This window comes from Homo sapiens, chromosome 16 (genome assembly GCF_000001405.40).
Source record: "Homo sapiens chromosome 16, GRCh38.p14 Primary Assembly".
Classification (NCBI taxonomy): Eukaryota; Metazoa; Chordata; class Mammalia; order Primates; family Hominidae; genus Homo; species Homo sapiens.
The window spans coordinates 49,212,794-49,228,554 of NC_000016.10; the positions used below are offsets into that span (position 1 = coordinate 49,212,794).

At 42.9% G+C, this 15,761-nt stretch overlaps 2 annotated features.

Annotated features, from left to right (window-relative positions):
- Positions 715–1,312: an enhancer, noted in NCBI's record as "OCT4-NANOG-H3K27ac hESC enhancer chr16:49247419-49248016 (GRCh37/hg19 assembly coordinates)". NCBI's record gives its function as "activates a minimal SCP1, AML or CMV promoter by ChIP-STARR-seq in naive and primed H9 embryonic stem cells {active_cell/tissue: H9 hESC(naive and primed)}" and the evidence as "EXISTENCE:reporter gene assay evidence [ECO:0000049][PMID:30033119]".
- Positions 3,833–4,356: an enhancer, noted in NCBI's record as "NANOG hESC enhancer chr16:49250537-49251060 (GRCh37/hg19 assembly coordinates)". NCBI's record gives its function as "activates a minimal SCP1, AML or CMV promoter by ChIP-STARR-seq in naive H9 embryonic stem cells {active_cell/tissue: H9 hESC(naive)}" and the evidence as "EXISTENCE:reporter gene assay evidence [ECO:0000049][PMID:30033119]".

The following is a 15,761-nucleotide window of genomic DNA, read 5'->3' on the forward strand; positions in this document are numbered from 1 at the left end:
GGGTCCTTTGTCCTTCAGTTCATTGAGGCCATAAATGAGCCAGCCACTGGGCCAGAGAATGATTGCCGTGGCCACTGCCTTCTGAATCCATGATATTGAACAATTCCATCATTTCTGACTAAGTGGTTCTAGACCAGTGACTCAATGAAAGAGTAAAGAAAAGTGATGGATAAACCTCCCTGCAGTTCTCCTGCTCCTGACCAGCTGAAATGGTATTTAGGATATCAAAGCAGGTAGGATCCTCAATTTGAGCTCTTCATCCAGGCCAGGGATGTTCCTTCCAGTGAAGGTTTCTGGTCTCTTGTGCACTGTTATCCTAGCAAACAAAATCCCAGTGGTTTTGCCTGTTTATTTTCTGGCCCTGTGGGTGTCTAAGTCCTGCTATTCTCTGATAGTCTGTAGCACTGGGGAGTAGAGAAGCCCTCCAAGCACAGAGTAAAGCCACTGGGATTGGGAAACAGGATGAGAAGAAAGATCAAGTCAGAATTCAAATCAAGCCCAACACACTGGGAATCTTTCTGGAGGAAATGGGATGTGGCCTTCCTGCAGGAGAAGGTAGGAGTCAGAAGGTGGGTGAAGGGGAGAGGGGAGGAAGGGGAGGTCTCATGTCTGTGCAGGTGTAGTGATGTGTCAGGCTAGCTAGAGTGACTAGGGGAGTTGTGACTGTCCCCTGCTTTGCTGTTAGAACCACAAGGAAGCCAGCTAGTGCCCTGTGGAGAAGGGAAATTTTCAGGTAGACCAGCAGGTTGTGCAGCATCTAAGCCATCTTCACGGTTTGTGGCTGTGTCTGCCTTCATGACAAAGTGAGAATGGCTCTGGCTGTCTCCATTTCAGAGGCTGCTTTTGAAGTCTGGCTGACACTCAGAATGCCCCACTGCACTCTGCATCTCACTGGCCCAAGCTGAGTTGTAATCTTTCAAGAGCCAGCCGTTCACCGCATAATAATCAAACCAAGATGGATGGAGGAGGAATACAAAGAGCATCCCACTGGCTTGGCTCCAAGTCAGGGGGCCTTCCCTAATGCGACAGACAGACAAGAGAAGAGGCTTCGGTAATCCCACTGTCTTCCCCAGGATGAGTGGAATTAGCATTTGTATGTGTACTCAATGGATTCAGGCAGCAAAAGCCCTGAGCTAGGAGGTCACAACCATGCCCTCTCATCCTGCGTCCCACTACACTCTCTAGCTTTGGGGCCTCAGACAAATTGTTACCCTTCCTGGATCGTTCTGTTCCCATTTGTAAAATAAAATCTATAGCACCTAGTGGTCTGGGTAGACCTCTTGAAGGAGGCAATATTTGAGCTGATACCTAATTTGGAGAAAAAAAAACAGAAATAAATTTCTGGTGGAAATACTTTCTAGGCAGAGAAAATAGAAAGCGTAAACGCCCTAAGGCAGAAGAAAGCCTGGATTATTTGAGGAATAGCAACAACAGCAATGAAAACTGGTGTGGATGGATCAGAGTTGGGGAGAAGATTATGTCAAGAAGCAGTGAGGAACCCGTAAGTACGGCCTTAAAGATCATGGTTTATATCATGCATGATGAGAACATGTCAAAGTATTTTGGGCAGGTGCGTGAAAAGATGTGATTTACATTTGTAAAAAACTTATTCTGGCTGCTCTGTAGAATACATGTTGGGGTAGGTGAGAGACAAGATGTAAATATGAAGAACATTTATGAGGCCACTGAAGAGATGGTGGCAACACAAAGAATCGATGGTAGCTTGGACCAGAATAATAAGGTGGAGATGGAGAGGTAGACAGATTGAGGATATAGGATTAAAATCAGTAAGACATAGTTCATGCATAGAATCCTAGAAGTCCAACAGCCTTCCTTCATTTCATCCTATCTCTGTCCCCTTCAGTTCAAGCTGGCAGCATTTCTACTAAGAAAGTTGATTAGATCCTCAAGTCACACATCTAATCCCTTTAGTGAATTGTCATTCAGCCACACCCTTGAGTGTTCTCTTCATAACATACCTTCTCATTTTTTGCAATATGGGTAGGCTGAGAATTTTCCAAATCTTCCAGTTCTGGTTCCATTTTGCTAAACGATTTCTTCTTCAATTTCTTCCTTTCCTCTTGCATTTTACTATAAGTAAAAAGGAGAAACCAGGCCATACCTTCAACACTTTTCTCTCTCTCTTTTTTTTTTTTTCCTGAGATGGAGTCTTGCTCTGTTGCCCAGGCTGGAGTGCAGTGGCGTGATCTCAGCTCATTGCAACTTCTGCCTCCTGGGTTCAAGCAATTCTCCTGCCTCAGCCTCCCAAGTAGCTGGGATTACAGGCTGCACCACCATGCCTAGCTAATTTTTTGTGTTTTTAGTAGAGATAGGGTTTCACCATGTGGGGCAGGCTGGTCTCCAACTACTGACCTAGTGCTCTGCCTGCCTCAGCCTCCCAAAGTGCCGGGATTACAGGTTTGAGCCACCGCACCTGGCCTTCAACACTTTTCTTGACAGTTTCCTCAGTTAAATATTGAAGTTCATCACTCACAAGTTCTACTTTTCACAAATAGTGTGCAGTTCATCCAAGTTTTCTGCCAGTTTAACAAGGTTCACTTTTTCTCCAGTTTTCAATATCATGTTCTTTATTACCATCTGAGACCTCACCAGAAGCAACTTTAACATTCACATTTCTAGCAACAGGCTCTTCAAGGCAATTTAGGCTTTTTCTATTATGTACCTCCTCAAAACTCTTCCAGACTGTATGTATTACCCAATTCCAAAGTTACTTCCACGTTTTAGGTATTTTTTACAGCATGCTGGTACATGGGGTTAGCAAGAAGAAGATAGGGGAAAAAAAAGGAATCTCAAATAATATCCAGATTGTTTAAGCTGGAATAACTGGGTGAATATTAGTGCCACTTATTTTTATTTTTTATTTTTATTTATTTATTTATTTTTGAGATGGAGTCTTGCTCTGTTGCCAGCCTGGAGTACGGTGGTGCAATCTTGGCACACTGAAACCTCTGCCTCCCAGGTTCAAGTGATTCTCCTGCCTCAGCCTCTCGAGTAACTGGGACTACAGGCATGTGCCACCACACCCAGCTAATTTTTGTATTTTTAATAGAGACGGGGTTTCACCATGTTGGCCAGGATGGTCTCGATCTCTTGACTTCGTGATCCACCCACCTCAGCCTCCCAAAGTGCTGGTATTACAGGCGTGAGCCACCGTACCTGGCCAGTGCCATTTATTAACATGAGAAGACTCAGATGTAAGTTCAGGGAATGGCTGTTAGACATCCATGTGAAAATGTAAATAAAGCATTTAGAAATACAAACTTGAATTCATGGGAGAAGTCTAGGTTTGAGGTAGATATTTGGGAGTCATAGGCAATATTACCAAATATTTAGTAATAAGGGCATCCAGGGAGATGCTCTTAGGTAAGGAGATGGCCAAAGACTAGCCCCTGGAGCCTTCTAATCCTTAAGTGTCATGAAGAGGAGAAAGTACCAAGCAAGGAAATTAAGGAATAGCAGCAAGTGAGGTTGGTGGACAGGCAGAGAGTCAAGTGTTTTAAGGAGGACGGGGGGATCAATTACACCAAGTGGGGCTGAGTGGCTGGGTTAGATGAGAATAAAGAGGTGGCCGCTGGCTTTGGAAACATGTACATATTGGTGACTGACAAAAGTAGTTTCAGTCAAGTAGTGTGGATGGAATTTTGAACATCACTGGGATGAAGAGAGAATAAAGGTGAGAAAGTGGTGATGTGGTTATGAATAACTGATTTGAAAAACCTTGTGCAATAGGAACAGAGCATTCAGATAGTACCTGGGAGAAAGTGGGGAATAAAGAAAGGATTTTTAAAGTTAGGATCAGATACTCAGATAGAAACAGAAAGAACAGAAAAGAGTGGCTGGGAATTAGGCGCAGGGTGAGTGAGAGTCAGAAAACAGTTCCTGGTACTGATACCAGAGATTTCCATGGAAGTCCTACACGCCCCTGTGGAGAGGGAGGAGCTCTGCAGGGCACCAGGTGTAGCCAGGCACCTGCCTTAGCAGTCTCTCTCCTGTCCCTACCCAGGAGCCTGAAGAGAAGGAGGGAGAAAGACTGAGAGAAGCAGAGATCAAAGAACCAGGAAGAGAGCCATTTAAAAGGAGGAAGAAGAAAGGCAAGAGCCAGCATGAGTTCTGATTCTGTCAGGATAGAAGTCAGCCTGCGAGGAAAGAATCTTATTAGACACTGGTTTTCTATCTTCTAGTTGTTTTATCTAATCAATAAGTTTAGTTTACTTTGGAGACTTTCCATTTATTGTAACTTTGGGTTTTTTAAAGAAATTTCTAGCCTTAAATGAATCTCTCTTACACACATACACACACACATGCACGTACAGGCACACACACACCACCTCCACTCAGTACATGTGGTAATGTTGTATAGGGGCAGATGATCCTAAAATCTGCCCCAGAGGGTTAAACATCACACATCTCCAGTCAGATATCATATTCCATTATCTGGGTGACAGTGATTGGCTCAGACGAGACACCTGACCAGTTAAGATTCAATCCTGGGACTTTTGCTTGAATTATTGGAAAAAGAGACCCTCCTCTTTGCAAACAGGTGTCAAGCTGGTAGAACACAAGCCCAAGGCTGTCAGATACATGTCTTGGCCACTGCATAAGTAGAGCCTGTGTATTAGTGAGGGTTCTCTAGAGGGACAGAATTAGTAGGATAGATGTGTATATGAAGGGGAGGTTATTCAGGTGTGTTGACTCACACGATCACAAGATGAAGTCCCACAATAGGCTGTCTGCAAGCTGAGGAGCAAGGAAGCCAGCTCGAGTCCCAAAACCTCAAAAATAGGGAAGCTGAAAGTGCAGCCTTCAGCCCATGGCTAAAGGCCCAAAAGCCCCCTGGCAAACCACTGGTGTAAATCCAAGAGTCCAAAAGCTGAAGAACTTGGTGTTCTATATTCGAGGGCAGGAAGTATCCAGCATAGGAGAAAGATGAAGGCTCGAAGACTCAGAAAGTCTAGTCCTTCCATGTTCTTCTGCCTGCTTTATTCTAGCCTCACTGGCAGCTGATTAGATGGTGCCAGATTGAGAGTGAGTCTGCCTCTTCCAGTCCACTGACTAAAATGTCGATCTTCCTTGGCAACACCCTCACAGACACACCCAGGAACAATGCTTTGCATCCTTTAATCCAATCAAGTTGACACTATTAACCATCACAGCCTGCTTGAGAATGGAGCTGAAAAGATAAAAGCAGAGCTGAGAGAGGGAGATGAAGCCAGAACTAATTTTGAACTTCTAATTTTCATGAATACAAAAGTGTTTTCTCCTTTCCCCCAACTCAAGTAAACCTGAGTTGGTTTCCTGTCACTTACAACGAGAGTCCTCCTGGAACCACCCAATGCACATAGCACAGACTTAAATACTAAGATAGCAGAGGTAAGCAAGGCAATCTCAGGATCACCGGGAAGGCCAGGATAAAAGGAGATTCACCTGAGCTAGTCTTAAAGGTAGCTAGAGGAGCAATGAATGAAGTCCAGAGAAAGAGGAAGCTCCAAGACTAGCCACGGGCAGTGTCAGCATTTCACAATGTGCTGTGCATCTTTTACGTCCATGGTCTCATTGGATTCTACAGCAACCCTGTGAACAGTGAGGAAGCCACACTCTGTTTTATGCAAATAAAACGGTCTCAAAGGAGAGAGAGGACTCACTCTAGCCGTGCCCAGATCCCAGCCCAAGTTTTCTAGCTCCAGGAAGAGTACTTGGCAGGACCTCCGCCAGCTCAGGTAGAACCTTTGTACTAATTAACAAAACATGCACTGTCCAGGCACTCACAGCCTCCTGGGCAGATGGGCTGGCTGCTGTTTTTCTCTAATTCCTGGAAAGGCATTGCCCACTTCTTATCCTAGGGCTGTTGTGCAGAGCCAGCCTGTACACTGTGCCTTGAAATTGTGGACCACTCTCCTTCCTTCCCTCTTTCTCCTTTCACTTACATTCTGTGTTTCCTTTCCTGTCTCTGAGCCTCAAGGAGCTCCACACAAAATGAAGCTGGGTTAAACACAGGTCCCCAATAATCTTTTCTATTTTGAAATTCTATTACTATGCTTCAGCTGAGGTGGTAAGAAGTAGCCTCCCATGAGATATGATGTTAGCCTCCCAACAGCACCCCCAAAATTGCCTTCACTGGGATCATAACTTCATCTTCCATTGAATCCTTTTGGATTTAACCATTGAAGACAATCATGGCAATATGAAACTGGGGGCTCACAATGGTTGACTACTGTATCCTTAATGTGTATCATTCCATTTCATCTGAGATACATACCATTATTTCCATTTCAATGATGAAAATGCCAAGATCAGAGAGGTTTAAGTATCTTGCCTAAGGTCACATAGGAGGCAAACCTAGTTCTAATTGATCCTAAAGCCAGAATCTATCCACCAGATATCCCAGTCATCACCTCTTAATGCTCGATAACACTTCATCAGGTTTCACCCAGGACATTCTAGAGATGCAGAGCAGTTGAGCTTTGACAGGGAAAGAGTGAAAGCCAACCCCTGAGCAAAGCCAACATCTCCAGGCAAAGTGGAATGGAGGTGTGGAGGCTGCAGCAGCATGACCTCTGCTCTAACTCAGAGTCTCCCACTGAACCACCCCTCCCCACAACATGTGTGGCTGCAAGCAAGTTCCTTTACCTCTCTGGGTCTCAAGTTCCACATTTGCTGGAAGGGGACATCAAGCCATTTTTCTTCTTACAACACAGAGCTGGCACAAGGGCATAGAAGATGACATGTGACCCAATGCCATGCAGGTGTAACATCCTCAGCCTTACACAGTCAGGGTGCTTTGTGATGACTGACAGCCTCTCTGCTGTCACCATGGCTTCAGGTCCACTCTTTAAATTGTTGGCCTTAGTCATGAAGCTACAGAATTCAACTGAGGAATGCAGTCATCCTTAAAGAAAAAAGAACTCTCTCCTTCCAAAAACCTCTTGCAAGGATAAAACTACATTTGCCCTTGTCCCTTGTTTCGAGGTAAAGTCACATACTCAATTATGCTGGCTTCTCTGTCTCCCTTTGCAGGTGCTGGGTGAGGTTAGACCAGGGTTATTGATGCAACATTCCTATTTTAAATGCAAAACAAAAGAGACATTATTTGTCTTGAATGTAAAATGAAGTCCCAGTGCATTTTTCAAGCTGCTAAGGCACAATTGGTCTAGTATTCATTTCTGTGGCAAATACAGAAACAAGCGAAAACCTAGCAGGTTTGAGGTATTTGTTTCCCTGTTAATATAATCAAACAAACTCTAAGGAGGCATTTTCTAATTTACTTTTGCATTGGATCCTTAAATTTATATAAATAGTGCTGGAAATGAAACTCTTGTGTCTTTATAATCTTGCATCTCACGTCTGGAAACCGAACTCTCCCCAGATTAAAAAAAAAATTGGAAGTAACTTAACGTCAGATGCATCTCTCTAAAGTATTGTTCTTCACCATTTTTGTAATGGCTGAGACAGTAGTGATCTTAGAGCAGCCTGTCCACTGAAGCTTTGCATTTGCATAGGATCAAATCATAAGTATCTGCTAGAAAACTCATGGCTCAAAGGACCTGTTCCAGGCTTCTACTATCTGCAGCTAATTTCCTTTTCATAACAGGGTTGTCTTTTTTCATTGAGAGAACAAGAGAGAGAAAGAGAGAGAGAGAGACATTATTGAATCATTAGAATAATTGGTCCCCAATAAGTAAAATTTTCTTTAGATGATTAAATTAATTCTAGGGGAAAAAAGAGAATTTTTCCAGTAAGCTCTTATGTCTTATTTCTTACTCAAAGAAATGGTTACCCCTTTTGCCACCCCACCCTCCTTATTGTACACAAACACAGACAGCGAGAATTTGCTTTCTATTAAGGGGCAGGTATTTATTTTTTCTATATTCAGAAGCCAGTGCTTTGGTTCTCAAAGCTTCTTTTCAATGGGTGCTTAGAGACAAAACATTGATGATGCTGGTGGGAGAGGGGCGGCATGTGCCTGGGTGGACTTGCAATCATTCTCTTCCCATTCCTCAAGTCCACACACCCAGCTCAGTGGCAACCAGACATACCACTTCCACTCAGCTCCACAACTGTCTACTAAAAAAGAGACTGGACAACACCAATCTCAGAGCTGTAGGACAGACAAAGAAACATGAGTAGTGACTCTCCCATGTGTGCAAAGCTGTTGTGGGTCAGGCCCAAGACAAACTTGGGGTGCCATGTGGTTAGTGGGTATATCAGGAGGGCCAACAAAGAATGTGTCAAGAGAGTAAAGAAGTCCAAATCCAGGCTGATCTGGTTTTCAACCTTGACACCACTTCATAATAGCTCTGAGATCTCAGACAAATGAATTCACATTCTAAATATCCTTTTCTGAAAAATGTGACTAATATCCTAGTGCTTCTAACAGAGGTAAGGCAATGCAATAGAGATGGGTGTTTAGCACACACTGCCTGGCACCCATCAGATGCTCAGTAAATAGCACAAAGTACAACTGGGTCAGAGACAAGGGAAACACTGTGCCCATTGAGATTAGCCTCAGAAGCTTCTTGGAGAAGGCAGGTTTTAAGTGACAATGAGTAGCTGGGTTTGACCAGGCAAAAAAAAAAAAAAAAAAACCCTTTTAATGTATGAATAGCTGAACCAAAGGCATAAATGGGACGCTGGGCATGACTCATAGAGGACACACTAAAGAGAATGGCCTGACACCCACCCTGAAGCCTCCCTGTCACCAACAACCCAACTCCCTTAGTCTGGATGGTTCAGGAAGTATAAGATGGTTCTTACCTTTTGTCTATTTGACATAATGAGAAAGGCGAGATTGCAACAAACAAAATTTTCAGAGCATTTCAACTTGAGGTATGCATGTTGATTCAAATTAGCACAAGGCTTGCCAAATAGCTGCTCAGTAAACCCTTGTTGGTAAATGGCACTGCTCTGTCAATTACTATGGACAATGATGAGTAGGATTCCTTGCAAATAAAGTATCACATCCATTCACTATAATTACCCAATATAATACTGTTGCTGTTCCCTGCATCTACTTTTGACAGGAATACACAAATGATACCAAAAAGAGCTCAGAGCTGACATGTAGTCTTTTTAGAACTAATCACCTTCCACAGTTTGTTCTGTGTTCAATGAAAGTTCAGCCAAAATGCGTAGACTTTTCCCACCTCAATCTCTGATAAACAGCAACTCGCATTCAGGATGAAGACTTAAGGTTTGCCAGACCCTTTAACAGGGAAGAAAGATTTCACTATGGCCACTAGTCTGTTTTTGCTAGGGCAGGAAAGTGGACTCATATATTTTCATAGAGTATAGGAGCTAGAGGTGACCCTAGAGGTCACCAAATCCAGTGATCTCACCCACAGATGGGAAAACCGAGACCTATCAAGAAAAGATGTATTTTAAATCAAACAGTTAACAAAGCAGAGCTAGGGCTCAAATCCAGGATGACTGACCCTTGCTCAACTCGTGTGTGCTGGAAAGATGCTTAGCGATAAAGTCAACCCAATACAGTTAGATACATTATATTAGATAGATTCATAGAAAGTATATTAGATAGATTCATAGATTAGATAGATTCATCTATCGATGATTGATTGATAGGGAAGATAGAGATAGATAGATACATAGACACATAGATACATAGAGGTGATAGATAGATGATTGATAGATGATTGATAGATAGATAATAGGAGAGAGATGATATAGACAGATGATACATGGATAGATAGATGACAGAATAGATAGATGATAAATAGAAAGACAGATGATAGAGATGATAGATACATGATAGAAAGGAATCTCCATTCCTCATGCACTTAGATAAAGTTTAACCACTTATTACCCCCACTTCTATATAATGGACAGTTTCCTTCTTCACCTATGCCTTCATGAAGCCACCCCTAAGTCTTTCCCTTTGGAACAGTCTACTTCTTTTTCTTCCTCCCTTCCTCCCTCCCTCCCCCCCTCCCTTCCGTCCCTCCTTCCTTTATTCCTTTTTTTTTTGAAAAGGTCTTGCTCTCTTACCCAGGCTGGAGTGCAGTGGCACAATCGTGCATCCCAGGTAAATCCTGTGAAATGGTAACTCTCTTCAGGCAAGGAACCTGCCTCTATTCCTCTCACATTCTCTACAGCAGAGAATCCAAAACAGTTTTATGGACTGGCTACATTAGAAAATTGATTGAGGAACTTTCCAAAAATTCCTAATCCTGGGCTCCACTCACAGAAATTCTGGTTCAGGAGGTCTGAGGTGGAACTAATAATCTGTATTTCTGCAAAGCTTTCCGTGTGACTATGAGGATTAGGCAAGTTTTGCAGCACTACACAGAGCTAATATGCCAGGAGGTCTCAGTAAATACCTTCTAAATGACCTTTGAAGGAGAGATTCAAGCCCTTACCATAAAACAACATTTTTTCAGAAATGCGAGACGATTTTGGTTCTAACAGCTGCAGGACATTGTCTTATCATTTTCTTATTCAAAAATCATAAAGGAATTAATCTCCTTTTTGAGATAATTTGTTACAGACTGTGCAGGTGGATGACTAGAAGATATTTAATCATTTATAATCCTGCAGAACTTAGCTTCAGCGTGATGTAAGGGTATTAAAAATTACCTTTGGATCATTTGACAAATAATGTCAGAGAAAGAGGGAGAAAGAAGATGAAAGCCTGGAGAATGGGGACATTCCTTTGCCAAGACCAAAATAAATTGCACCTACTCGATTATGACAATGGCTTTGCCTGAAAGAGGTTGAAATGAAGATGATAAATAAAGATGTTCATGGCCAGAGGCCCAGTATCTGCCTGGAAGGCAACGGCCAAACCCAGGCCCACCTTCCTTGGCCCATGCCAAAGCTTCAAACAGATCACCAATAACTGGAGCCACCAAGGTGACCCAGGGCTAAGACTGATATATCCAGATATTGCGTGTGGTCAGTTATTTTAATAATATTTACTAGCAATAAGCAGAGGGCTTGAAGGGCAGAGACAGTTAATATAAAGATACAGGGTTGTCATCATGGGGTAAATGTAGAATGGTATAAAGGTCCCAAGAAGTACCCCCACCTCTAAGGTCTAAATCTTGAACTTGGTAAGATATTTGAGACAGGGTAGCTAAAAGGCTCTTTGGTCTACAGCTGTGGAAGAACCAGCTCCTGTTGCCTAAAGAGACACCATAGAGGTCAAATTAAGAGACAAGTTGATGGTACATCATGCATATGGATAAGCACTGTTGCATCTTGACAGATGACAAAGAAGACTTCTAAGACGCATTTTTTTTCAACCCGCTGGCCTTTTCCTGACTCTAAAATAATAATACCACAAGAAGAGATGAGCCAACTGGCAAGCATCCATGAGCAAGTGGCCCCAATGAAAACTGCTCATGCTCTGCCCCCCTGAACAATGTGACACTCTGCTCCCCAAACTGCCTGTTCAGCAAACCTTCCCACATCTGCATGTTAACACCTCAATACAGCAAAGTCATCCTCAGAGCAAAGAAAAGCTCAAGGAATTTGGATGAAAATGGACTTGGGAACCTAGAGACAGGAGACTCAGAAGATTCATTATTTAGTATGTGTCCCCTTTTTTTTTTTTTTTTTTTTTTTGAGACGGAGTCTCACTCTGTCGCCCAGGCTGGAGTGCAGTGGCGGGATCTCGGCTCACTGCAAGCTCCGCCTCCCGGGTTCACGCCATTCTCCTGCCTCAGCCTCCCAAGTAGCTGGGACTACAGGCGCCCGCCACTACGCCCGGCTAATTTTTTGTATTTTTAGTAGAGACGGGGTTTCACCGTTTTAGCCGGGATGGTCTCGATCTCCTGACCTCGTGATCTGCCCGCCTCGGCCTCCCAAAGTGCTGGGATTACAGGCGTGAGCCACCGCGCCCGGCCCTAGTATGTGTCCCCTTTTACACACAATCAGGAATACAAGAAGTGGTAAGAAACAATGAGCAATTCTCTACTTATCTAGTTGGACCCTGTATTAGTCCATCCTCACGCTACTATAAAGAACTGCTCAAGACTGGGTAATTTATAAAGGAAAAAGGTTTAGTTGACTCACAGTTTTGCAGGGCTAGGGAGGCCTCAGGAAACTTACAATTGTGGCAGAAGGAGAAGCAAACATGTCATTTTTCACATGGCAGTGGGAAGGAGAAGAATGAGAGCCAAGTGAAGGGGTATGTCCCTTAAAAAACAATCAGATCTCATGAGAACTCACTCACTATCACAAGAACAGTATGGAGGTAACCGCCCCCATGACTCAATTACCTCCCTCCGGGTCCCTCTCATGACACCTGGGGATTATAGGAACTACAATTCAAGATGAGATTTGGGTGGGGACACAGCCAAACCATATCAGACCCATGTTAGAGAACTCAAATAAGGACACCCAAATTTTTCTAAGATTCCTAAAAATCACAGAATGTCAGAGACGGGCTTGCTTTTAGACATTTCATAAGGCAATCTTCTCAACTGACTAACGGAGAAACTGAGGTCAAGTTTGCCTGGGGGCTAGGTGAGGAATTAGAGACAAAGCGAATCTGAGAATCCCATTTTTCTAAAATGCTCAATGCTCTTTCACATATGCCATGAAACAGAAAGGCATGATAGGTGGGTGAGTAGATGGATGGATGGATGGATAGATAAATGGGTGGGTGATCCTTTGGCCTTAGTGCATAGAAAAAAATGAGACAATGCAGAAATGTAAAATCTAACATGAGATCTTAGATAAGGAGTTTCTTCTTTCATTCATTCCCTCATCTCCTTCAACTGCCCCATTCCCCCATAATTAAGGTTATTAAATTCAAAAATTGGAGTCTCGTGGGCCAAGTTTTAAAGTTATTCTCTTGAATATACAGTTGACCCTTGAAGGACACAGGGTTAGGTGTGCTGACTCCCCACACAGTCAAAAACCCATGTATAACTTTGGACTCTCAAAAACTTAACTGCTGATAGCCTACTGTTGACCAGAAGATTTGCCAGTAACATAAACCATCAATTAGCACATATTTTATATCTTATTTCTGTTATATACTTCTATATTATTATAATAAAGCAAGTTAGAGAAAATAAAATCTTAAGAAAATCATAAGGAAGTGAAACATATATGCTATTCATCAACTGGAAGTGGATCATCATAAACGTCTTCAACCTCATATTGTCTTCACATTGAGTAGGCTGAGGAAGAGGAAGAGGACAGGATGGTCTTGCTGTCTCAGGGGTGGCAGAGGTGGAAGAAAATCAATGTATAAGTGAACTAGCGCAGTTCAAACCTGTGTTGTTGAAGGGTTAACTGTATATCCTCACTCTTTCACTGAGCTCATTTCATCTCATGACTTTACATTATTATTTAAATTGACAATTCCCCTATCTGTATCTCCAGCCTGGACCTCTACCCCTATCTTCAGACATACATCAATTGCAACATCTCCCTTTGAATGTATAATGGATGTCTTAAACTTAGCATGTCCTAAACTTCTGATCTCCAGTCCCCCACACTGGGTCCTCCCACAACCTCCCCCATATCAGTTAATAACAACTATGCTCTTCTGAGAGTTTCTACCCAAATCCTTGGAGTCATCATCAAAAATTACATTTTTCTCTTACATTCCTCATCCAGCCCATCAGCAAATCTTTGTTGTTTCTACTTCAACAAAACAATCAGATCTTACAATTGTTGCCACTGACACTGATTCCAATACTGGTTCAAGCTACAATAATCTCTCCACTGGAATCTTGCAATCACCTCTTAATTCTGCTCCCTGATTCTATCTTGTTCCCCTTTGAGATATTCTTAACACAGATCAGATGGATCCTCTTAATGTGTAAGGTAGATCATGTCACCCTTCTGCTCAACACCCCCTGAGAGGTTCCCCTGTCACTCAGAATGAAAGCTCAGTTCATTAAAATGAGCCAGAAAGCCCTACATGATCTGAACACCGTTATCTCTGACCTCATCCTCTACTCTCTCTTGCCATTCCAGCCATACTCAACTCCTCATTCTTTGGGCATAGCAAGCCTGCTCCAAGCTCAGAGCCTTTGGCTTTTCTGCTGTCTCTGCCCAGGATCCTCTTTCCTCTGTTTCTACCTGGCTCACCTTCTTGTCTCCTGCATGTCTTTATTCAATGTCACCTTCTCAGTGAGGCTTTCGCAGGCCATATTTACAACTGTAGTCCCCACACTCAAAGCTTCATATCCTCTTCTTGGCTTTATTTTTCTGAAATGCCTTACAGCTTCCCAGGCAGTCCATATTCTGCCAAGAAGTAGAAAAGAATTAAATTGTTCCTAAAAATAGACACTGAATCTCCCTTAGTCTTCTGCTGCCTTTTCATGGAAAGTATGCAAAACTTATGAGGCTTGACTTTTTCTTCATTTCCCTGAAAATCAGGCACTAAATCCAGAGCAACAGGCTGGAATTAAAGATATTGATTTGCTTAAATGAAGCACATTCTCTGACACCTAGTTTAAAAGAGAAAAATCTCTCTCGATGCTGTCAAGAAACTCTACATTTTGCAGCCTTGAAACAAATGCCAGGAGAATGTCGTTCTTTTGACTTTATTCCCTCTGTAATATTTTTATTGTATTTTAATTTACCCTTTTGTTACCTAAGAGAAGCAGAAAAAAAAATCGAACAAAAGTACTACCATGGCTTGGGATAAACTGAAAAGTCAGTCTCTCTCTCTCTCTCTCTGTCACACACACACACACACACACACACACACACACACACATTTCTGACATGATCCTATTTACAAGTTTATTTCTCTCTTCTTTCTGACTTGGAGACATCAACAGTCTGGCCTGGGAAGTGTGTCAACAAATGCTGAGATCCTGCCTAGGTAGTGGCAAATTCAAGAACGAAGTTCTGACAATATTGCTGTTCCCAGCTTCATTTATGCAAGAACATTTTGGGTTATATATTGCTTAAAAGGCTTGGCAATCATACATTCATAATCACTGCAAACAGGCCAGCTGACTGGCCACTCCTGTCCCATCATCATCATCCAGGCTCCTCCTTCTCTGTTTTCCACACTCACTACCTTTTGATTCATTAAGGAACACAATGACTTGAGAAGATTTGTCTCTAAAAATTCTCATCTGGCATTTTACATGACTGACCAGAACATTTTTCTCCTGCTATCTATAAATATATCTCCTCAGGGGCTAACTGCTCTCTGAGATGATAATAATTAGTGTAATAATCCAGTGCTTGTTGAGACCTCAGTATGTCCTATAATGGGAGCCTCCTAACTAATCTTTCTGTTTCTAAACTTACCTCCTTAGGTCAACTAAAAATGCCTTTTTAAAAAGATAAATGGAGGGAGGTTCCAAGATGGCCAAATAGGAAAAACTCCGGTCTACAACTCCCAGCATGAGCGACACAGAAGACAGGTGATTTCTGCATTTCCAACTGAGGTACCAGGTTCATCTCCCTGGGGCTTGTCGGACAGTGGGTGCAGCCCATGGAGCATGAGCCGAAGCAGGGTGGGGCATCGCTTCACCCAGGAAGTGGAAGGGGTCGGGGATTTCCCTTTCCTAGCCAAGGGAAGCCGTGACAGACAGTACCTGGAAAATTGGGGCAATCCCACCCTAATATTGTGCTTTTCGAATGGTCTTAGCAAACAGCACACCAGGAGATATATCCCGTGCCTGGCTCAGAGGGTCCCATGCCCACAGAGCCTCGCTCACTGCTAGTACAGAAGTCTGAGATCAAACTGCAAGGTGGCAGTGAGGCTGGGGGAGGGGCATCTGCCATTGTGGAGGCTTGAGTAGGTA